The 23,318-nt window shown below is 45.0% G+C and overlaps 1 protein-coding gene across 2 annotated transcripts, besides 2 other annotated features; it reads left to right on the forward strand.

Moving 5' to 3' along the window:
- Window positions 6–23,276, forward strand: PCYOX1 (prenylcysteine oxidase 1). 2 transcript variants are annotated; one of them, XM_047444689.1, is made up of 6 exons: window positions 6–26; window positions 1,451–1,657; window positions 3,303–3,477; window positions 17,050–17,261; window positions 17,605–17,757; window positions 18,825–23,276. In XM_047444689.1, the coding sequence occupies exons 2-6, from the start codon at window positions 1,570–1,572 to the stop codon at window positions 19,481–19,483; spliced, it is 1,287 nt and encodes a 428-aa protein (XP_047300645.1). In that variant the 5' UTR covers window positions 6–26; window positions 1,451–1,569; the 3' UTR covers window positions 19,484–23,276. The 2 variants fall into 2 exon arrangements, with proteins under 2 accessions (XP_047300645.1, NP_057381.3); NM_016297.4 differs by lacking the exon at window positions 6–26 and adding an exon at window positions 228–367.
- Window positions 84–213: a silencer, noted in NCBI's record as "silent region_11609". NCBI's record gives its function as "represses an Ori minimal core promoter by ATAC-STARR-seq in GM12878 lymphoblastoid cells {active_cell/tissue: GM12878}" and the evidence as "EXISTENCE:reporter gene assay evidence [ECO:0000049][PMID:35858748]".
- Window positions 484–593: a silencer, noted in NCBI's record as "silent region_11610". NCBI's record gives its function as "represses an Ori minimal core promoter by ATAC-STARR-seq in GM12878 lymphoblastoid cells {active_cell/tissue: GM12878}" and the evidence as "EXISTENCE:reporter gene assay evidence [ECO:0000049][PMID:35858748]".
- Window positions 23,277–23,318: the final 42 nt, after the last annotated feature.

Raw genomic sequence — 23,318 nt, forward strand, 5'->3', positions numbered from 1 at the left:
CTGCCTTCGATGTCTTCTGAAGGAGGGTGGGCTTCGAGGCGGCAGGATGTGCTTAGGGCACTGAGTGGCCCAGAGTGGGGAGCTCCTGCAGGGTTGAGAGGACCGGCGGGGCGAGGTCGGGGCGGGGCTCGCAGGACCTGGGCGGGGCTCGCAGGGGCTGGGCGGCCTGGGGGCGGGGCTGGGCGGAGCGCGCAGCCGCGCAGCGGTGGGAGGACTGCGGGGCTCTTGAGGCCAGCTGCAGAGCTTGTGGAGGCCATGGGGCGCGTCGTCGCGGAGCTCGTCTCCTCGCTGCTGGGGTTGTGGCTGTTGCTGTGCAGCTGCGGATGCCCCGAGGGCGCCGAGCTGCGTGCTCCGCCAGATAAAATCGGTAGGCGAGAAGGGGGCGGCGCGGGAAGGTGCTGGAGCGCGCCCCGCGCCGGGCGGCCGCTGCGCAGTGCGCCCAGATCCCACAGCCGCGACGCAGTCCAGCGGTGCAGGCCGAGCCAGCTGCGCAGGTCGCGCTTTCCCCCATTCACACTTCAGGGCGGCTTTCAGCTCTGGTCGGAATAGGACTGTGCATTCCCAGGCGTGGAGAGGTGCCCACTTGAGGAATGGGCGTGGACGGGGACAGGGGCGGGCGGGCAGGCAGGCGCCTAGCGTACCTGTAGCCCCTGTCTCTTAGGTGTGGGGCTCCGGGGAGGCCTAGGTTTCTCTATCTTCCCGTTGAACACTGACCGTGAAGACTCCAGTGTTCTGGCTTGACCTGGGGCGCCCGGCCAGATTAACAGGCTCACGCAGGCACAGCACAGGGAGGAGTGCAAACAAGTTGACCCTGCCTGCTTCCCTTGGGAGGCTGAACCGCCTTCCCCCAGCTCCGCTTTGCTGAGGTCGGCCTGCTCTCAGAGGCCCTTGGCTTGCACAGTTTCTCCGCCTAGGACTAACACAGCTGCAGAAAGAATCTGTTCTCTTTCCACTGTCAAGAGCTCCAGTGTCAGGAGCCTTGGCTCTTTGCTTCCTGTCTCCCTCCCGCCCCCCTTTAAAGTTGTGTTCTTCGGTATCATTAACCTATCTACATTGAATCTAGACACAACAAAGCTAGGCATAAATGGCCGTCACTTTATTAAAAATGCGTGCTGGAAAGGTCCACCTCTAATGTGCCCGTGAGTTGGGCATCTGGAAGGGTGTGCAGGCCCCTTGGTTCCTCCATAAAGACCTGTGAGAATCTTTGGGCATCTGGAAAAAAAATCGAGTTAATGTCAATATGTTAATTAATCTACTGCTTTTGTCTGGGAACAGTGTCTGTCCAGATTCAGGGAGTTAGACCTTCGCTGCAGGTGTCACTCTTCCCCCACCAAATTGTTGGTAATAGCTTTGAGTAACAACCTCTGCTATTGATGGTCTTTCAAAAACAAAACAACTCACAGAGCTGGTAAAAGGGGAAAATATAATCTTCTGTTTTTTTCCCTCATAGCGATTATTGGAGCCGGAATTGGTGGCACTTCAGCAGCCTATTACCTGCGGCAGAAATTTGGGAAAGATGTGAAGATAGACCTGTTTGAAAGAGAAGAGGTCGGGGGCCGCCTGGCTACCATGATGGTGCAGGGGCAAGAATACGAGGCAGGAGGTTCTGTCATCCATCCTTTAAATCTGCACATGAAACGTTTTGTCAAAGACCTGGGTATGTAATTTTGGTCTTGGAGCTCACCAGATTACTGTGTGACATCCCCGGATATTTTTATCAGATGGAGAACTGAAATTTCTGCCTTGTTAATTGCCTTACAGAGACGTTGGTAAAACTGTTTTCCTCACTTTCTTGTTAGTTGGTACTGCCTGAGTTAGGAGCAGTTCTGCTGTAATGGGACACTAGTTGTCTGTATCTTCAGTTATCTGGAATTACAGCCATGGGGTGGGGGTGGGAATGGCTGCCATTGTCTTTTTTTTTCTTTTGAGGAGTTTCGCTCTTGTCGCTCAGGCTGGAGTGCAATGGTGCGATCTTGGCTCACTGCAACCTCTGCCTCCCGGGTTCAAGCGATTCTCCTGCCTTAGCCTCCTGAGTAGCTGGGATTACAGGTGCCTGCCACCACGCCCAGCTAATTTTTGTATTTTCAGTAGTGACGGGGTTTCACCATGTTGGCCAGCTGGTCTTGAACTCCTGACCTCAGGTGATCCGCCTGCCTTGGCCTTCCAAAGTGCTGGGATTACAGGGGTGAGCCACCGTGCCCGGCCTCTGTTGTCTGTTCTTAAAATTCTGGGTTTGTGTTAAAGAATCAGAGAAGGTTTGGAGATAGTCATCTCATTGTGATCATTTTGCAGCTGAGTAAATGAGACCCAGAGACTTGAATTGTCTGGCTCAAAGTCACTCACATATGGCCATGGCCAGGGTCAGTGGCTCATGCCTGTAATCCCAGCACTTTGGGAGGCCGAGGCAGAGGATCACTTGAGCCCAGGAGTTAGAAACCAGTCTGGGCAACATAGTGAGATCCTGTCTTTACTAAAAATAAAAAAGTTAGCCTGGTGTGATGGCACAAACCTGTAGTCCCAGCTTCTTGGGAGGCAGAGGCAGGAGGATCCCTTGAGCCTGGGAGATAGAAGCTGCAGTGAGCCTTGCATGCCACTGCACTCCAGCCTGGGCAACAAAGTGAGACCCTATCAAAACAAACCACCACCAACAAAACAAACTCCGTCACACAGCTGTGGATGCAGACACGTGCCTAGAACTTGGGATGTGCAACTGCTGCCCTGACAGCAGAGGAGCTGGATAGGTCATGGGGAAAGTCTGACAGGCCTCTGGAGGCCCTTTCGGCAGGGAGTATTTTGTAACTTTGGCCTCCTTCCAGTTATCTGAAATATCCAGTTTTGCAAAATAGGATTCTCACAGGAATGGAAGTGCCTCAGCTGCCTTCCACATCCTCTGTAGATGCTGCCTCTGCTTCCGTTTCCTCCACGAGGGCGAAGGTATACCCAGAACAAATTATGCCACGAAGATGCATGTCTGACATCTTTGTTTTTAAATTGAATTCAGTTGGTACTCTGGCTTTTTTCCTTTGACTATCCAGTTTTTTTAGACTTTTAGTCTAAAAATAGCCAGGTAAAAATATATCTACTTTTGATATATTAATATTTACATGATCATCTGACCCATCGCCTAGCAAATCTGCTTTTGGACAGTGTAGTGAAAGTATAGTGTTTCACACTGTTCCAAAGATAGAGCTCCTTTATGTGTCTCCTGAGAACTGAGGGAAGCCCCAAATTCACTCAGATTACGTTCTTTCATTTGATCAGCATAGACACCACTGACTTAGCTGTGCTTTATGTTTTTGCAGGTCTCTCTGCTGTTCAGGCCTCTGGTGGCCTACTGGGGATATATAATGGAGAGACTCTGGTATTTGAGGAGAGCAACTGGTTCATAATTAACGTGATTAAATTAGTTTGGCGCTATGGATTTCAATCCCTCCGTATGCACATGTGGGTAGAGGACGTGTTAGACAAGTTCATGAGGTAATTTTTTTTCCTTCCATTTAACCTAAGATCTTTTAATTTAGGTTAAATTAAACTTGATGAACTTTAGGAATTATGATTTCTTGTAAGCATTTTCTACCTCACAGCAAGGCCTGTTTATAACATTGTTAGGCAAAATGTTTTGTAGAAACTATGCAGACTATTTGCTTGGATATTGAAAGGTTGGTTTATTTTTGCTTCTGAAGTGTATTTTGCAAATGCTTCTTTAGTGTTGCCAGATACTGTTAGATGCCTTGAATTCTTATGACAACTTACTCTGGTAGGTACTGTTTTTAGCTTCTTTAAACAGATGCAGAAGGTGGCGGTGTAGAGAGGTTTTAAAAGGCAAGTTCACCCACATAGTAAGTGGTATAGCTGGAGTTGCCACCCAGGCAGTCTGGCCTTTGAGTCTTCACTCTTAATCTCTATGCTGTGCTGGTGTTGTGTATATGAATTGAGATAATGTGTACAAGAGCTTGTAGAAAGGATCAGAAAACTTAAATGGCCTTTAATAGTGACATGTTTTCAGTGAACCAGCAGCCTGAAGTAGAGTAAAAGTTCCATATTCCAAGAATTTACATTCTAGCACTGTTTTGGGTAGTGAGAATTCAGGTGCCTCTTTTTCGTCCTTATGCTTTTCTATATTTAAACAGTTTTTTTAATGCGTGTGAATATGTATCACTTTGGTAATCAGGAAGACTAACATAAAATAGCCAGTCTAATTTTGAAAGGTACAATCTGTATTTTTAAAGCTGTTGGCATGTTCTAGTTTTTTAGTTTTTTTGTTTTTTTGTTTTTGAGATGGAGTTTCGCTTGTTGCCTAGGCTGGAGTGCAATGGTTCGATATTGGCTCACTGCAACCTCTGCCTCTTGGGTTCAAGCGATACTCCTGCCTCAGGCTCCCGAGTAGCTGGGATTACAGATGCCTGCCACCACGCCCAGCTAATTTTTGTATTTTTAGTAGAGATGGGGTTTCACCCTCTTGGCCAGGCTGGTCTCGAACTCCTGACCTCAGGTGATCCACCTGCCTCGGCCTCCCAAAGTGCTGGGATTACAGGTGTGAGCTACCGAGCTTGGCCGGCATGTGCTAATTTTTTTTTTTTTTTTTTTTGAGATGGAGTTTTGCTCTGTCGCCCGGGCTGGAGTGCAGTGGCACCATCTCGGCTCACTGCAACCTCTGCCTCCCTGGTTCAAGCGATTCTCCTGCCTCAGACTCCCGAATAGCTGGGATTACAGGTGCCTGCCACTGTGCCTGGCTAATTTTTTGTATTTTTAGTAGAGACGGGGTTTCACTGTGTTAGCCAGGATGGTCTTGATCTCCTGACCTCGTGATCCGCCTGCCTCAGCCTCCCAAAGTGTTGGGATTGCAGGCATGAGCCACTGTGCCCGGCTAGCACATGCTAATTTTTATGCTGCTTTACAGTTTTAGGTACTGGAGGCCAGGATCGCATCATTACACTCCAGCCTGGGTGACAGAACAAGATTCCATCTTGAGGGGAAAAACAAAACAAAACAAAACATGTCATATGACCAGGTATTGAACAGGACAAATATGAGTTAAGCAGGGCTGGGCACAGTGGCTTATGCCTCTAATCCCAGAATTTTGGGAGGCTGAGGCTGGTGGATCACCTGAGGTCAGGAGTTTGAGACCAGCCTGACCAACATGGTAAAACCCTGTCTCTACAAAAAATATAAAAATTTAGCCGGCGTGGTGGTGCATGCCTGTAATCCCAGCTACTTGTGAGCCTGAGGCAGGAGAATCACTTGAACCTGGGAGGCAGAGGTTGCAGTGAGCCACGATCGTGCCATTACACTCTAGCCTGGGGGACAGAGCCAGACTGTCTAAAAAAAAAAAAAAGAAAGCTAAGCAGGATATGCTCTGGTTTCTATAACTCATGGTAGTTTGGGGTTTCTTTCTTTCTCAACATCATTCTTAGGTCAGTTCCTTAAATGCCTTTCCCGTGGGTACCTTAAGTCCATCTACAGTGCATAATGTTTTTAAGTAGCCATTCATTCATTCACCCAATATTGAATACCTGTTAGGTGCTAGGCATTGTTCTATGTTGAGAGTATAGGACCTACAACATGTCCTTGTCCTCAAAGAATATATATTCTAGTGGAGAGACAGGCAATACACAACCAAGGAAATATATAGAATTTGCGTAGAGACGGCCAGTCACTTTATAGAAGGTGGGTGGCATGGTGCTGCATACTCAGCAGGCAGATCAAGTTCTGATGGCATCAGCCCTGCTTGTGTGTATTGTTTTTCTTTTCTTTTCTTTTTTTTTTTTGAGATAGAGTCTCGTTTTGTCGCCCAGGCTGGAGTGCAGTGGCGGGATCTCGGCTTACTGCAACATCTGCCTCCCAGGTTCAAGTGATTCTCCTGCCTCAGCCTCCTGAGTAGCTGGGACTACAGGCACATGCCACCATGCCTGGTTAATTTTTTGTATTTTTAGTAGAGATGTGGTTTCACCGTGTTAGCCAGGCTGGTCTCAAACTCCTGACCTTGTGATCTGCCTGTCTCGGCTTCCCAAAGTGTTGGGATTATAGGCGTGAGCCACTGTGCCCGGCCCTCTTTTTTTTTTTTTTTTTTTTGATACAGGTCTCACTCTGTCACCCAGGCTGGAGTGCAGTGGTGTGATCATGGCTCACTGCAGCCTGGACCTCCTGGGCTCAGGGGATCTGCCTACCTTAGCCTCTGTGTAGCTGGGACTACAGGCACGTGCCATCAGATCTGGCTAATTTTTTGTATTTTTTTTGTAGAGATGAGGTTTGGCCATGTTGCCCAGGCTGGTCTTGAATTCCTGGGCTCGAGTGTTCCACTCACCTGGGCCTCCCAAAGTGTTGGGATTACGGTTGTGAGCTCCTGTTCCCAGCCTTGTTTTTTTTTTTATCTGTGGCTTGCTTGAGATGTAGAGAATTGCCCTTTGAGAAATTAAGAAATTACTTTTTTTTTTTTGAGATGAGTTTCACTCTGTCACCCAGGCTGGAGTGCAGTGGTGCAATCTCGGCTCACTGCAACCTCTGCCTCCTGAGTCCAAGCGATTCTCCTGCCTCAGCCTCCTGAGTAGCTGGGATTACAGGCATGTGCCACCATACCCAGATAATTTTTTTATTTTTAGTAGAGATGGGGTTTTACCATGTTGGCTAGGCTGGTCTCAAACTCCTGGCCTTAATTGATCTGCCCGCCTTGGCCTCCTAAAGTGCTGCGATTACAGGCATGAGCCACCGCACCTGGCCTAAGAAATCACTTTTGAAGTGAATTCAAGGTATTACAGAACTGGGAAAAAGAACCAGTGAGGGGATACATAGGTTATACTGTTTTTGACTTTAAAAAATAATTTACGGGCCGGGCGCGGTGGCACACGCCTGTAATCCCAGCACTTTGGGAGGCCAAGGCAGATAGATCTTGAGGTCAGGAGTTCGAGACCAGCCTGGCCAACATGGTGAAACTCCGCCTTGCTAAAAATACAAAAATTAGCTGGGTGTGGAGGCGCAGCTAATGCCAGCTACTTGGGAGGCTGAGGCAGTAGAATCGCTTGAACCCAGGAAGCGGAGGTTGTGGTGAGCCAAGATCAAAGTATACACAAGGTGGAGAAAGACCTATGTAACAGTAGTAAACCATGACACTCGAAAGAGGGCTCAAGCTTGTGGTAGGCAATACTCGAAAACAGTGCATTCATTCATTCTCTGCTGTTGGAGGTACTTGAGTGGAAATCCTGCAGCCCCTGACATCAGCACTAGCTAGCTTAATTTCCACTTCTGCACATACATTTATGTAGTTGTTCTGGTTGGATGCCATTCTTAACTAATTTTTTTTTTTTTTTTTTTTTTGAGACCAAGTCTTGCTCCGTCACCCAGGCTGGAGTACGGTGGTGCAATCACAGCTCACTGCAGCTTTGACCTCCTGGTCTCAAGTCATCTTCCAGCCTCAGCTGGGACTATAGGCATGTGCCATCATGCTTGGCTAATTTTTTAAATTTTTGTAGAGACAGGGTGTTGCCATGTTGCCCAAGCTGATCTTGAACTCCTGGGCTCAAGTGATCCTCCCACCTTGGCCTCCCAAAGTGTTGGGATTACAGGCGTGAGCCACCGCGCTCAGCCGGATGCCATTCTTTACTCCCAAGTCCAACCTCTTATCTCACTTTTTCAGCAAAGCATTTCCTTAATGCTTCAATCAACATTCATCTTTCTTTTCAAACATCCCTTATTATACGGTGCACACTGTGTGCTTGTGTTCTATGCTACGCACAGTAACTAGAATGTAGTAGATGTTTACTCAGATGTTTGTGGAATTTAAATCTCTGGTCTGCTGATGGCTTCCTGTTGAGATATCTTGGCTTGTAGACTAGGTTAAAGCTTATTCTTCTCTCTCAAGTTAGTGCATTTCTGGGGACTTGTAAGATCCTTAACACTTCTTGATCTGAGACTGATAGACTCACAGGGAAAGGCTTTATAAACACCCTTTCTTCCTTCCAGTTACTCCTACCAAATATTTTGAGTCAATTTTTGTTCTTTCATTTCCCAAACCCACTCTATCTTGAATCCCATCAGCCTTTAAAATACATCCAGTATTCCACTACTTCTCTCCAGGATTACTGCTACCACTTTGTTCCAAGTCACCACCACTGTCTCTTGTCTGGATTGCTAGAGTAGCCTCCTATTATAGGCTGAATAATCCTCTCCCCTGCTGTCTGCCACAAGATGTCCATGTCTTAATTCCTGGAACCTGTGAATGTGTTACCTTTTGAGGTAAAAGAGACGTTGCAGATATGGTTAAGGATGGGTAGATTATTCTGGATTATCTAGGTGGGCCCAATATAATCACAAGGGTCCTTAGAGAGGCAGGAGGATCAGGGTAGGTAGTAGGAGATGTGATGATGGAAGGAAGAGATTGGAGTGATGCTAGGAAGGGGTGTGCGTCCACGAGCCAAGGAATGCAGGTGGCCTGTAGAGGCTGGAAAAGACAGTCTTCCCTCAGAGCTTCTAGAAGGAACCAGCCTTGTGCACACCTTGATTTTAGCCCGGAGAGACTGACTTTGGTCTTCTAATTTACAGAACCGTAAGATTATAACTTTTTTTTTTTTTGTTAGTATTTATTAATCATTCTTGGGTGTTCTTCGGAGAGGGGGATTTGGCAGGGTCATAGGACAATAGTGGAGGGAAGGTCAGCGGATAAACATGTGAACAAAGGTCTCTGGTTTTCCTAGGCAGAGGGCCCTGCCGCCTTCCGCAGTGTTTGTGTCCCTGGGTACTTGAGATTAGGGAGTGGTGATGACTCTTAACGAGTATGCTGCCTTCAAGCATCTGTTTAACAAAGCACATCTTGCACCGCCCTTAATCCATTTAACCCTTAGTGGACACAGCACATGTTTCAGAGAGCATGGGGTTGGGGGTAAGGTCATAGATAAACAGCATTCCAAGGCAGAAGAATTTCTCTTACTACAGAACAAAATGGAGTCTCCTATGTCCACCTCTTTCTACACAGACACAGTAACAATCCGATCTCTCCTTCCTTTCCCCACATTTCCCCCACTTCTATTCGACAAAACTGCCATCGTCATCATGGCCCGTTCTCAATGAGCTATTGGGTACACCTCCCAGACGGGGTGGCGGCTGGGCAGAGGGGCTCCTCACTTCCCAGACAGGGCGGCTGCTGGGCGGAGGGGCTCCTCACTTCTCAGAGAGGGCGGCTGGTCAGAGAGGCTCCTCACCTCCCAGACGGGATGGCGGCGGGGCAGAGACACTCCTCAGTTCCCAGACGGCGTCGCGGCCGGGCAGAGGCGCTCTTCACATCTCAGACGGGGCGGCGGGGCAGAGGCGCTCCCCACATCCCAGACGATGGGCAGCCGGGCAGAGACGCTCCTCACTTCCTAGACGGGATGACGGCCGGGAAGAGGCGCTCCTCACTTCCCAGACTGGGCGGCCGGGCAGAGGAGTTCCTCACATCCCAGACGATGGGCGGCCAGGCAAAGACACTCCTCACTTCCTAGACGGGGTGGCGGCTGGGCAGAGGCTGCAATCTCAGCACTTTTGGGAGGTCAAGGCAGGCGGCTGGGAGGTGGAGGTTGTAGCGAGCCGAGATCACGCCACTGCACTCCAGCCTGGGCAACATTGAGCACTGAGTGAGCGACACTCCGTCTGCAATCCTGGCACCTCGGGAGGCCGAGGCTGGCAGATCACTCATGGTCAGGAACTGGAGACCAGCCCGGCCAACACGGTGAAACCCCGTCTCCACCAAAAAATACGAAAACCAGTCAGGCGTGGCGGCGCGCGCCTGCAATCCCAGGCACTTGGCAGGCTGAAGCAGGAGAATCAGGCAGGGAGGTTGCAGTGAGTCGAGATGGCAGCAGTACAGTCCAGCCTTGGCTCGGCATCAGAGGGAGACCGTGGAGAGGGAGAGGGGGAGGGGGAGGGGGAGAGGGAGAGCTGTTTTTTGTTTTGAGACAGAGTCTTGCTCTGTCACCCAGGCTGGAGTGCAGTGGCACAATCTTGGCTCACTGCAGCCTCCGCCTCCTGGGTTCAAGCAGTTCTCTGCCTCAGCCTCCCGAGTAGTTGGGATCACAGGCGCCCACCACCATGCCCGGCTAATTTTTGTATTTTTAGTAGAGATGGGGTTTCACCATCTTGGCCAGGCAGGTCTTGCACTCCTGACCTCGTGATCCACCCGCCTCAGCCTCCCAAAGTGCTGGGATTACAGGTGTGAGCCACTGCACCCGGCCGTAAATTTGTGTTGTTTTAAGCCACTAAGTTTGTGGTAATTTGTTATAGCAGCAGTGGAAAACCAAGACACCTCCTAAATCATCTGCCATTACTGTTATATTGCTACCATTTGTTCTCAGGTTAGCAGCCAAAGTAGTTCTTTAAAATCTAAGGCTCATCACATCACTCCACTAACTCAGAAACCTTCAGTGGCTATTTCATTAATAGAGATTTATAGCCAAAATCTGTTTTGTGACTGAGAAGACATGACAGGATTCTGTGCTCTCATCCCTTACTTTTAAATTTGTTTTCCCCAAAATTCATAGGTTGAAACACTAGCCACCCAGTACTCAGAATGTGACTGCATATGTATGTAGGGCCTTTAAATATGTGATTAAGTTAAAATGAGGTCTTTAGCGTAGACCCTAAAACAATTTGATGGGTGTCCTTAAGATTAGGACACAGAAAGGAGGCCAAGGCGGGCAGATCACCTGAGGTTGGGAGTTCGAGACCAGCCTGACCAACATGGTGAAACCCCTTCTCTACTAAAAATACAAAAAATTAGCTGGGCGTGGTGGTGCATGCTTGTAATCCCAGCTACTCAGGAAGGCTGAGGCAAGAGAATCACTTGAACCTGGGCGGCAGAGGTTGCAGTGAGCCATTGCACTCCAGCCTGGGCAACAAGCGTGAAACTCTGTCTCAGAAAAAAAAAAAAAAAAATTGGGACACAGAAGAAACACACAAAGACCATGTGAGGACACAGCAAGAAGGTGGCCATCTGCAAGCCAAGGAAATAGGCCTCAGAAGAAACCGAATGCATCCACACCTTGATCTTGGACTTTTGGCCTACAGAACTATAAGAAATAAAACTTTTTTTGTTTAAGCCATCCAGTCTTTGGTACTGTGTTATGGCAGTCTTGGTGAACTAATACACTGTTGTCATTTTCAGTAACTGTCCATTATTGAAAATGGGATATTGAAGTCTCCATTATTGTTGAACTATGTATTTCAGTTCTGTCAAGATCATTTGATCATATTCATGAAGGTTTATTTCTGGGTTTTCTTATTTGTTTCAAGGATCTGTGTGTCTGTTTTTTTTTTTTTTTCAGATGATGTTTTACTCTGTTGCCCAGGCTAGAGTGTAGTATGTTCACAGCAACCTCTGCCTCCCAGGCTCAAGCAATTCTCCAACCTCAGGCCCCTTGAGTGGCTGGGACTACAGATGTGCACTACCATGCCCAGCTAATTTTTTTTTTTTTTTTTTTGAGACAGAGTCTCGCTCTGTTGCCCAGGCTGGAGTTCAGTGGCGCTATCTCGGCTCACTGCAACCTCTGCCTCCCGGGTTCAAGCAATTCTTGTGCCTCAGCCTCCTGAGTAGGTGGGACTACAGGCATGCACCACCAACCCTGGCTAATTTTTTGTGTTTTTAGTAGAGATGGGTTTTCGCCATGATGGCCAGGCTGGTCTCGAACTCCTAACCTCAAGTGATCCTCCAGCCTGTGCCTCCCAATGTGCTGGGATTACAGGCGTGAGCCACTGCACCCGGCCTTTTTTAAAAAGTTTTTTTGGTCAGCCTCTTGTAGTCTCTATTGATGTCATAGCCTCCGGCATCTGTGATGTTAAACAATTGCCACAGATTTTTTTTTTGACACGTGGACACGTGCCCTCAGGATGGGGCTGTTGCATAGAGTGAACTTTGAATCAGGTCGAATAAAGACAAGCCTTCAGGATAGAGCTTTTTCGGAGCTGCCAGATAGGTCAAATATTGACAGTTCTCTGAGGATAGTGCTTTTTGGGAGCTACAAACTCGTTGTGTTCTCTCCAGTGGCTTCTAGCTTGCTAGTTTCACATTGCAGTTGGAAGGGTGCTGGTTTTATTTTTTATTTTTTTTTCTCTCTCTCTTTTTCTCTTTCTTTCTTTCTTTCGACGGAGTCTCCCTCTTGTCGCCCAGGCTGGAGTGCAATGGTGCGATCTTGGCTCACTGCAACCTCCATCTCCTGGGTTCAAGCGATTCTCCTGCCTCAGCCTCCTGAATAGCTGGGATTACAGGCGTGTGCCACCACACCTGGCTAATTTTTTATATTTTTGGTACAGATGGTGTTTCACCATGTTGGGCAGGCTGGTCTTGAACTCCTGACCTCAAGTGATCCGCCTGGCTCAGCTTCCCAGAGTGCTGGGATTACAGGTGTGAGCCACCATGCCTGCCAGACATTTTTCTTGAATAAATACTCCTTGGACTTGGAAAGGCTTTGGTTTATCTGCAGAGCTCTGAAAGAGTCAATGTTGATCATTTTTGGCAGTATTCTCATAGCTTTTATGGAGGAGCAGATTTCCAGAGGTCCTTCCTCTGCCATTCTGGAAGTTTCCTCTCCCCAGTAACATTTCTGGCTGTACCACTCCCGGTTCTCCCATATCACTCTGCTTCAGCTGCTCTGGCTTCATTGTTTCTTGAATGTGCCAGGCAAGCTTCTGTCATGTGACCTTTGCATTGCTTTTACCTCTACCGGAAATATTTTCCCCCAGGTGTTTGCCTGGTTTGCATCCTCATCTCCTTCGGGTCTTTGGTCTATATCATCTTCTCAGTGAGGCTTTTCCTGACCACTCTTGTTTTTGGACAGTCTTATTTAGAATTCAACCCTCCTAACCCCATGTATTTCTAGTCTTCTTTTCAGACCATTTTCTCCTTTTTTTTTTCTTTTGAGATGGAGTCTGTCTCTGTTGCCCAGGCTGGAGTGCAGTGGCACGATCTTGGCTCTCCTCGGCTCACCTTGGCTCACTGTGCCACTGCACCACTACGCCCGGCTAATTTTGTATTTTTAGTAGAGACAGGGTTTCTCCATGTTGGTCAGGCTGGTCTCGAACTCCTGACCTCAGGTGATCCACCTGTCTTGGCCTCCCAAAGTGCTGGGATTACAGGCGTGAGCCACTGTGCCTGGCCCCAGTTATATTTTTTTAAAAATTATTATTTTTTTGTTTTTGTTTTTGTTTTTTTTAAGACAAGGTCTCACTCTGTTGCCCAAGCTGGATGGAGTGCAGTGGTGTGATCACAGCTCACTGCAGCCTCAACCAGCGGGGCTGAAGTGATCCTCATGCCTCAGCTTCCTGAATAGCTGGGACTACAGGCATGCCTCACCATGCCTGGCTAATTTTTTTTTTTTTTTTTTTCTGTAAGTATTTTATTTATCACTGAAGAAAAAACACAGCAGCAAGTTCTGTGTTGGCTTCAATGAGACCAAATAGTTCATCTTTAACATAGCTACTGCGCTCCAAAATTGAAGTCAACACAGTCATTACTACAAATTACTTGTTGAAAGAATCTATCTTCAAAAGAAAGAAAATTAGGAAAGAGAATTTAAACGATTCCTCCAAACCATACATTTATAAATATTGTCATATTTAAAATGCTTGAAAGGCGTGAATTCTCCATTAATGGAAAAGCAGTTTGCTATTGGCAACAGAAAAAAACTCAGCGATAATTTACCAAATGCTTTAAAATTTAAAAGCTATACTGTTTGGATTCACACTTGCGCAGTAATCTTGTCATTACAACAACTGCAAATTGCTTTGTACTCACCTTCTCTCAAGTAAAATCTAAAGAAAACCCCACCGTATCCAATGTTTGTAATGTTTACTTCAAGTGAATCTAAAAAATTTCTAAATTTAGTTTATGGTAAATACCTCAAAATACCTAAAAATAGGTACGTATCAACCACTTAAGGGTGTGAAAATTGTTTCAGATTCACTGCTTTAAAGGGTCTTCAAATATATTTTCTTTAACAGAACCTTACTTCATTCCAAATTATTATCAGATATTTCAAAATAAAAAAAAAGTATCAGTTCTATACCAAGATAAAGGTGTTACTCAATACCTGAAGGTTCACATTTTAAATTTATTTTTTAGTTTTTCTTTTTTGTCAACAAATGATTGATGAAATAATGCAACACCCTTAAATTCCAGAAAATGGCATGGTTTTTCCAACCTCCTGTGGATATGGTGCATGATCAATCTATTATATAGGAGCCTGGCTAATTTTTAATTTTTTTTTTTTTTTTTTTGAGAGGGAGTTTCACTCTGTCACCAAGGCTAGAGTGCAGTGGCACGATCTCGGCTCACTGCAACCTCTACCTCCCAGGTTCAAGCGATTCTCCTGCCTCCACCTCCCAAGTAGCTGGTATTACAGGCATGCGCCACCATGCCCAGTTAATTTTTGTATTTTTAGTAGAGGTGGGGTTTCGCTATGTTGGCCAGGCTGGTCTCAAACTCCTGACCTCAAGCGATCTGCCCGCCTCAGCCTCCCAAAGTGCTGGGATTACAGGCATGAACCACTGCGCCTGGCTAATTTTTACATTTTGTGTACAGACAGAGTCTTGCTATGTTGCCCAGGCTAGTCTTGAACTCCTGGCCTCAAGGTATCCTCCTGTCTTACTCTGTCACCCAGGCTGGAGTATATTGGCTGGCTGTTCACAGGTGCAACCATAATGTACTACAGCCTTGTGCCCCTGGGCTTAAGTGATCCTCCCACCTCAGCCTCTTGAGTAGCTGTGACTACAGGTGCATGCTGCCTCACCTGGGTGCTGTTTTTTAGTAGTATTTATTCTGTTTTTTCATTTATTATTATTATTTTTTTGAGATGGAGTCTTGCTCTGTCATCCAGGGTGTAGTGCAGTGGTGTGATCTTGACTTACTGCAACCTCTGTCTCCTGGGTCAAGCAATTCTCATGCCTCAGCCACCTGAGTAGCTGGGATTACAGGCATGCACCACCACACCTGGATAATTTTTGTATTTTTAGTAGAGATGGGGTTTCACCATGTTGGCCAGGCGGTCTCAAACTACTGACCTCAAGTGATGCTGCCCCACTTTGCCTCCCAAAGTGCTAGGATTACAGGCATGAGCCACCATACCCAGCAGTGTATTTATTCTAATACGATTAGTTGTATCATGAAACAATTAGAGTGCTCTCTGTTTATATTGTGTATATAGTTTCATCTCACCGCTGCCACCCCGCCCCCTCCCAGGGAGACTTGCTTGAGTGAGGTTGCAGCTCTGGCAGGAGCAGTTGGGGAATATGTTTTTTATAGCATCATTAGTAGCTTATTTAATTGACTGTTATTTTCTCATGTTGACCATTAGCCAAAGATCACTCTTCTTTGGATATGAGATATCCAGGCTATTATTTTTCTGAAGAATTCAGTGTTTCCATCCTACTTTTTCCAGTCTCCTAAAGACTGGGACCCAAATGCTATGGTTAGAAGGTATTTAGTTTCTCAGTTTTGGCATAGATATCGAATCAGTTTTTCCAATAAAAATGTGTTTAACATTTTGTACACTTATACTACTACTATGCTTTTAGTAGGTAATACTGAAATGGTTATAATACTGTCCCTTGTTCTGTAAAAAAATATAGTACATTTTGAGAGAAAAACTTGATGTGAAAGTTTCCCTTCCATGATCAGTGATAGGGATCTTTCCTTGGCTCTTAATTTCTTATTTTCATATACTTATCTCTGCATGTGCCTTATTACTTATCCCTAACTATAAGCCCCTTAAGGGAATAAGAGATAAACCCCGTATTACTTATCCCAAACTTAAGCCTGTTTTCCATCTTTGTACTATTTGCAACATGAAAAATTGTGTTTGAATTACTGAATGCACTAATTTATGTGAATGTTGTTTTAAATCCATAAAATGCAGAGAAGTGTTGGGTGATATTTTTCTTTTTGGTCAAGTGATGTTTTCTAAAAAATAATAGAAAGCATCTAATTGTTGAATGAGTGGCATTGGTGCTAAGTTTTATGAGGCTTCTGGAGATGATATAACTGTGGACTGGGAAGTTGAGCAAGACTTTTCAGAGAAGGTGGGATTCAAGTTCTGTTAAGGAAGAATAGATGTTCCATGGTTAGGAATGGGAAGTGTATTCAGGTTGGAGGGAAGAGCTTGTGCACTGGTGGGGATACAGCATGTAGGGCAAATTTAGAGACCAGTGAATGGGTCAGGTGTGCTCCAGTGGAGACTGTGCATGTGTGGGTGATTGACAGCAGAGTGGGCAAGTTGTGATTGAGCCTTATACTTGCCATGTGGCCTTTAGACAAAGTATTTTACTTCTACTTTTTTTTTTTTTTTTTTTTGAGATGGAGTCTCGCTCTGTTGCCCAGGCTGGAGTGCAGCGGTGTGATCTCGGCTCACTGCAACCTCCGCTTTCTGGGTTGAAGCGATTCTCCTGCCTCAGCCTCCTGAATAGCTGGGATTACAGGCGTGCGCCACCAGGCCCAGCTAATTTTTGTATTTTTAGTAGAGACGGGGTTTCACCATGTTGGTCAGGCTGGTCTCAAACTCCTGACCTAGTGATCTGCCTGCCTTGGCCTTCCAAAGAGCTAGGATTACAGGCATGAAACCACCGCGCCTGGCCTTACTTCTACTTTTTATTTTTCCTTTTTCTTCTTCTTTCTTTCTTCCTTAGTTTCTTTTCTTTTTTTTTTTCTTTTTTTTTTTTTAAGAGACACTGTCACTGTCTGGCCCAGGCTGGAGTGCAGCGGCATTATCACAGTTCACTGCGGCCTTGAATTCCGGGGCTCAAGCAGTCCTCCTGCCTCAGCCTCCCAAGTAGCTGGGACCACAGGCATACACCACTATGCCTGGTTAATTTTTGTATTTTTAGTAAAGCTGGGGTTTTGCCATGTTGGCCAGGCTGGTCTTGAACTCCTGACCTCAGGTGACCTGCCCACCTCTGCCTCCCAAAGTGTGGGGATTATAGGCGTGAGCCACTGCACCTAGATGTCAGTTTGATTCTTATGACGCCACTTCCCTTCTTTATACATCCCCTTCCCCACATCTTGTTTGGTATTTAATGGATTTCTCTTCTTTTCCAAAGGATCTACCGCTACCAGTCTCATGACTATGCCTTCAGTAGTGTCGAAAAATTACTTCATGCTCTAGGAGGAGATGACTTCCTTGGAATGCTTAATCGAACACTTCTTGAAACCTTGCAAAAGGCCGGCTTTTCTGAGAAGTTCCTCAATGAAATGATTGCTCCTGTTATGAGGGTCAATTATGGCCAAAGCACGGACATCAATGCCTTTGTGGGTAAGCCAGGGCTTGAAACAGTGGTGGACATTAGTTCACAGAGGGGCTTACCTGATGCTATGGTGGTTCCTGACTTTAGGCTGTGGATTGGAGGCTACTTTTCTCTGTGAACCTCAGACATTGTTAGCAAAATTGTGCGTATGTAGATGTGCATTTTTAGGGGGAGAGGGTCTTTAGCTTTCATTAGTTCAGTAATTCTTAACTGGGGGAGATTTTGCTCCCAGGGGCCATTTAGCAATGTCTAGAGACATTTGGAGTAGAACATGTAATTGGGAAGGGAGAGTGGGTAGAGAGCCTCTTACAAAAAGTCAGAATTAAAACACATTTTTCCTCCTATTGACAGGGGCGGTGTCACTGTCCTGTTCTGATTCTGGCCTTTGGGCAGTAGAAGGTGGCAATAAACTTGTTTGCTCAGGGCTTCTGCAGGCATCCAAAAGCAATCTTATATCTGGCTCAGTAATGTACATCGAGGAGAAAACAAAGACCAAGTACACAGGTAAGCTTGAATTTCTTATTGTTCCTGATATCCCCTGCAGAAAATGATTGCTCAGGGAGAAACACTTCTCTTCTGTCATCTCTTACTCAGTTCTAAAATGATGAAACTTGAAATTGTATATATTGTACCATATAGAAATATTCCCCAATGGGCCAGGCACGGTGGCTCATGCCTGTAATCCCTGTACTTTGGGAGGCCAAGGAGGGTGGATCACCTGAGGTCAGGAGATCAAGACTAGCCTGGCCAACATAGTTAAACCCTGTCTCTACTAAAAATACAAAAAATTAGCCGGGCGTGGTGGCAGGTGCCTGTAATCCCAGCTACTCGGGAGGCTGAGGCAGGAGAATCACATGAACCCAGGGGGCAGAGGTTGCAGTGAGCCAAGATCACACCACTGCACTCTAGCCTGGGTGACGGAGTGAGACTCCATCTAAAAAAAAAAAAAAAAAAAAAAAATTCCCCAGTGTAGTTAAGTGCTGTGGCATCACTCCTTGGATTTGAAAAATAATCTTTTTTTTTTTTGAGATGGAGTCTCGCTCTTTTGCCCAGGCCGGACTGTAGTGGCCTATCTCGGCTCACTGCAAGCTCCGCCTCCCGGGTTCACGCCATTCTCCTGCCTCAGCGTCCCGAGTAGCTGGGACTATAGGCGCCTGCCTCAGCGTCCCGAGTAGCTGGGACTATAGGCGCCTGCCACCGCGCTCGGCTAATTTTTTGTATTTTTAGTAGAGACGGGGTTTCACCATGTTAGCCAGGATGGTCTCGATCTCCTGACCTCGTGATCCACCCACCTCGGCCTCCCAAAGTGCTGAGATTACAGGTGTGAGCCACCATGCCCGGCCGAAAGATAATCTTACCTTCAAAAGTAAAAATTCTGTATTTTGTACTTACTGACATTCTGAATAAGAAATTGGCCTCAATGTAATAAAAATGCAAGGGACAACTATCTTAAGGGATATAACTTCTTCAATTCTTTAGAATTATAGAGAAATTATGAAGAAGGTATACAATTATTTTTAGAAGGTATGTTAGAAACACTAAACAAATATATGCCTCCTTATTTCCTCTAGGAAATCCAACAAAGATGTATGAAGTGGTCTACCAAATTGGAACTGAGACTCGTTCAGACTTCTATGACATCGTCTTGGTGGCCACTCCGTTGAATCGAAAAATGTCGAATATTACTTTTCTCAACTTTGATCCTCCAATTGAGGAATTCCATCAATATTATCAACATATAGTGACAACTTTAGTTAAGGGGGAATTGAATACATCTATCTTTAGCTCTAGACCCATAGATAAATTTGGCCTTAATACAGTTTTAACCACTGATAATTCAGATTTGTTCATTAACAGTATTGGGATTGTGCCCTCTGTGAGAGAAAAGGAAGATCCTGAGCCATCAACAGATGGAACATATGTTTGGAAGATCTTTTCCCAAGAAACTCTTACTAAAGCACAAATTTTAAAGCTCTTTCTGTCCTATGATTATGCTGTGAAGAAGCCATGGCTTGCATATCCTCACTATAAGCCCCCGGAGAAATGCCCCTCTATCATTCTCCATGATCGACTTTATTACCTCAATGGCATAGAGTGTGCAGCAAGTGCCATGGAGATGAGTGCCATTGCAGCCCACAACGCTGCACTCCTTGCCTATCACCGCTGGAACGGGCACACAGACATGATTGATCAGGATGGCTTATATGAGAAACTTAAAACTGAACTATGAAGTGACACACTCCTTTTTCCCCTCCTAGTTCCAAATGACTATCAGTGGCAAAAAAGAACAAAATCTGAGCAGAGATGATTTTGAACCAGATATTTTGCCATTATCATTGTTTAATAAAAGTAATCCCTGCTGGTCATAGGAAAACACACGGTTCTAATTAAGTGTGAAGGTATAGCTATTGCACTTATGCCATCTCCAAAATTTCTTAAGTATTCTTTCACTATCCATTAGGAGTTTTTCTTAAACTTGTCTGATAATAAGAATCACCTGGAGTTAGGAGGTGGTGGTTGCAGTGAGCCAATCTCACCATTGCACTTCAGCCTGAGCAACACGAGCAAAACTCCGTCTCAAAAGTAAATAAAAATAATCACCTGGAGTTTGTTAAACCATATGGATTCTCAAGCTCCTCTCTTGAAGATTCTGATTCAGTAGGTCTGGGAGTGGCGCGCTGGATTTTGATCAAAATTGTAGAGCATTTTAAGGTGAGTACCTGAGGGAGAACTTAAAGACATCTTAGTTGGGGAGTAGTCCTTTTGAATTTTACAGCTAGATATAATCTTCAGTCAGATAAAATTTATGGGAGCTGGTGTCTTATGCCTGACTCTTAGTAATTTCATACCGGTTTGAAGTACGTGTGCCCATGCCTAAAGCCTTGACTTTCAGAATGTTGTCTTTTGATTCTTCTGTCTTGATTTGATTAGGGGTGAAATTTAGAAGTCTTAGTAATGTAACTTGAAGATGTTAAACAAAAATCTCAAGTAAAATGAAAAGCAAATATGGGCTACTGAATTAAGAAACTGGCATTCTAGTATTAAATCCTCACTTCAGGAGCTTTTAAAAATACTGAGACCCCCCCATAACCAGAGATTCAGATTCAAAGACTGAGGATAGGACCTTAGCATTGTAGCTATTTAAAGTTTCTAATGTGCACCCAGGGTTGGGAATCACCAATGTGGGTGTGAAAATGCCTACAAAGGGTTTTAGTGCCTTAGAAGTCCTAAGAAGCCCAATCTGTATCAAAGCAGATCCATTTTGCAAGGATCTTTCTTTTAGAACTTTCTCAGTTCTCTTAGTAAGAACTTTAGAAGTAATCTTGATAATAAGCACAGACAGCCTAACAGCAGAGGCAACTTAAATAACTCCTGAGCAGTTGGCACTAGAACAGAATACTTGGAATGACACCAAAGTTAACCAAGTCCAGCATATGTCCAAAGAGTTAAGTGTTTCATTTACTGTAGCATTCTGGGTGAGAAATTGGTTGCTGAAATCTTAAGACAGTGGTCTCAACCTTGGCTGCACATTGGAATCACCTGTAGGGTTTTAAAGCATCCAAATGGTAATTAACAGGCAGCAAAACTTCAGAACTAGTTCTGCATCTACTGTGCAAAGATCATGATTAACTGTCAAGACACTGGTAGAACAGAACAAGCAAAAGATTAAGAGTTCAAAAGTAAATGCAACCAATTTAACATGTAGTGTTATTAAAAAATTACAAAGGCCTAGACCAGCCTGGGCAACATGGTGAAACCCCATCTCTACAAAAAATTTTTAAAAAGTTGGCCAGGCATGGTAATGCGCGCCTGTGGTCCCAGCTGCTCGGGAGGCTGAGGTGGGAGGATCACTTGAGCCTTGGAGGTCAAGGCTGCAGTGAATCATGATCATGCCACTGTACTCCAGCCTGGGCAACAGAGACCATCTTAAAAAAAAAAAATCCTTCCATTGAATAGAAACTTCAAAGTCCTTCATCAGATCATGGCATTAGCTACTTTAGCAAAATAGTGTAAACTTTGGTTCTGAGTAAAAATGACTTCTTCCCTACCACAGTTGTGAATGTTAATATGCTGATAAAACTGCCAAGATATATTTGATAGGTAGGGGATTAAACTCATGGTTTGTCAAAAGAGTGTTTTTTTCTAGTTTTATTCTTAACAGATATGTTGAGGTATTCATATTTGTTTCCTTTTGTGGTTTTAATGAAGACAATTTGTAAAGTAATACTGTTATGTATATGCTAAATGTTGGTAAATACTAATTAATTTCCATCATTTGTAGACTTGTTTTGCAATGGGATATATTTTTACTTATAATACCAATTTAGGCTGGGCGCAGTGGCTCACGCCTGTAATCCCAGCACTTTGGGAGGCCAAGGCAAACGGATCACGAGGTCAGGAGATCAAGACCATCCTGGCCAACATGGTGAAACCCCATCTCTACTGAATACACAAAAATTGGCTGGACATGGTGGCGCATGTCTGTAATCCCAGCTACTGTAATCTCAGCTACTTGGGAGGCTGAGGCAGGAGAATTGCCTCAACCGGGAGGCGGAGGTTGCAGTGAGCCAAGATCGCACCACTGCACTCCAGCCTGGCAACAGAGCGAGACTCTGTCTCAGAAAAAAAAAACAAAAACCAGTTTAGGCTGGGTATGGTGGCTCACCAGCACTTTGGGAGGCTGAGGCAGGTGGATCTCTTGAGGTCGGGAGTTTGAGACCAGCCTGGCCAACATGGTGAAACCCTGTCTTTACTAAAAATACAAAAATTAGCCAGGCATGGTGGCGTGTGCCAGTAATCCCAGCTACTTGGGAGGCTGAGGCGCGAGAATCGCTTGAACCCTGGAGATGGAGGTTGCAGTGAGCAGAGATCGCACCACTGCACTCCAGCCTGGGCAAGAGTGAGACTGTGTCTCAAAAGGAAAAAAAAAAAATTAAAAATGTTGCTGGTATTACATCAAACCTACTCTGGATAAATTTTCCAGTAGGGCATCTGAAATTGCTTTGGCAAAAGCAAAACAGGTTATCAATACACCAAGGACATCAAGTAGTTTTAATGCAACTACAGTGTTGAGTGCTTTTTTACTGGGAGAAAAATCCTAGCAGAACCTGCTACTCTGGGCGCATTAGGTAGTTTTATGCAACTATAGTATTAAGAGTTTTATTGGAAGAAAAAACACTGTCAGAGCTTACTGCTCCAGACCTTTTTTTTTAATAGAAGAGACTGGTAAAAATGATGCAGGGGCTGAATGAAAGCCAGCTCTGCTCCAGTGGCTCTCTGAGTTGAGCATGCATCAGTTACCTTAAGGGCTTGTTAAAACATCGCTAGGCTCCACCCTGTTTATTCAATAAGTTTGTTATGGGATATAAGAAGATGCATTTTATTAAGTTCCCCAGTGATGCTGCTGTTCTACTATAGGAACCACACTTGAAGAACTAGTTCTACAATTCAGCTGTATGTTGTAAAGGAGTCAAGTCAATGAAGGAGTTATAAAGAGTTGCTGAAAAATGGAGTAACAGTGTATGGGACTTCACATCAGTTCTCCTTATTGATTGTTAGTTTGATCCCTCTTGTTCTTTTGTTGTAAACATTTTCTATAATTAGGAAATGCCATTTAAGAGTGAGAGAGGTATATATCTATGAGCCATTGTGTTTGGTGTTTTACAAGAACTTTACCATACTGGTGTGTAGTCCATTCTGTACAGTTTAAAAGTGATTCACGATTTGCAGGCTTTTTATCAGATCACAAAAAAATCAGTCTTTAAGCATTTGCTTGGTAAGGTTTCTTAAGATTAGGTTTATAATACAACCATCTGTAATGTATCTCTCGTTTGAGCTTGTGGGCCATACAATTCATTAACTAGATGAATACATTGTGGACAGCATCCTCACTACCCCTCTCTACTCACTCACAAAGAACCATGATACACTGGAATGTTTTTCTCTGGAATCCTCTTTCTACTCTTGTATTAAAATTTTTCCCCACTTCATGATTATATTCAAAATAAACAACTACATCATTACTTCTTGTCTTTTGCTTCTGTTGTACTATATTTGGAATGTAG

This window comes from Homo sapiens, chromosome 2, assembly GCF_000001405.40.
Source record: "Homo sapiens chromosome 2, GRCh38.p14 Primary Assembly".
NCBI lineage: Eukaryota > Metazoa > Chordata > Mammalia > Primates > Hominidae > Homo > Homo sapiens.

Excerpts from the sequence above, each read along its gene's own strand:
- PCYOX1 (NM_016297.4), top strand. The coding sequence starts at position 256 with ATGGGGCGCGTCGTCGCGGAGCTCGTCTCCTCGCTGCTGGGGTTGTGG. Across the intron at positions 17,262-17,604 it reads GGACATCAATGCCTTTGTGG|GGGCGGTGTCACTGTCCTGT; the intron begins GTAAGCCAGGGC and ends TCCTATTGACAG. Across the intron at positions 17,758-18,824 it reads AACAAAGACCAAGTACACAG|GAAATCCAACAAAGATGTAT; the intron begins GTAAGCTTGAAT and ends TATTTCCTCTAG.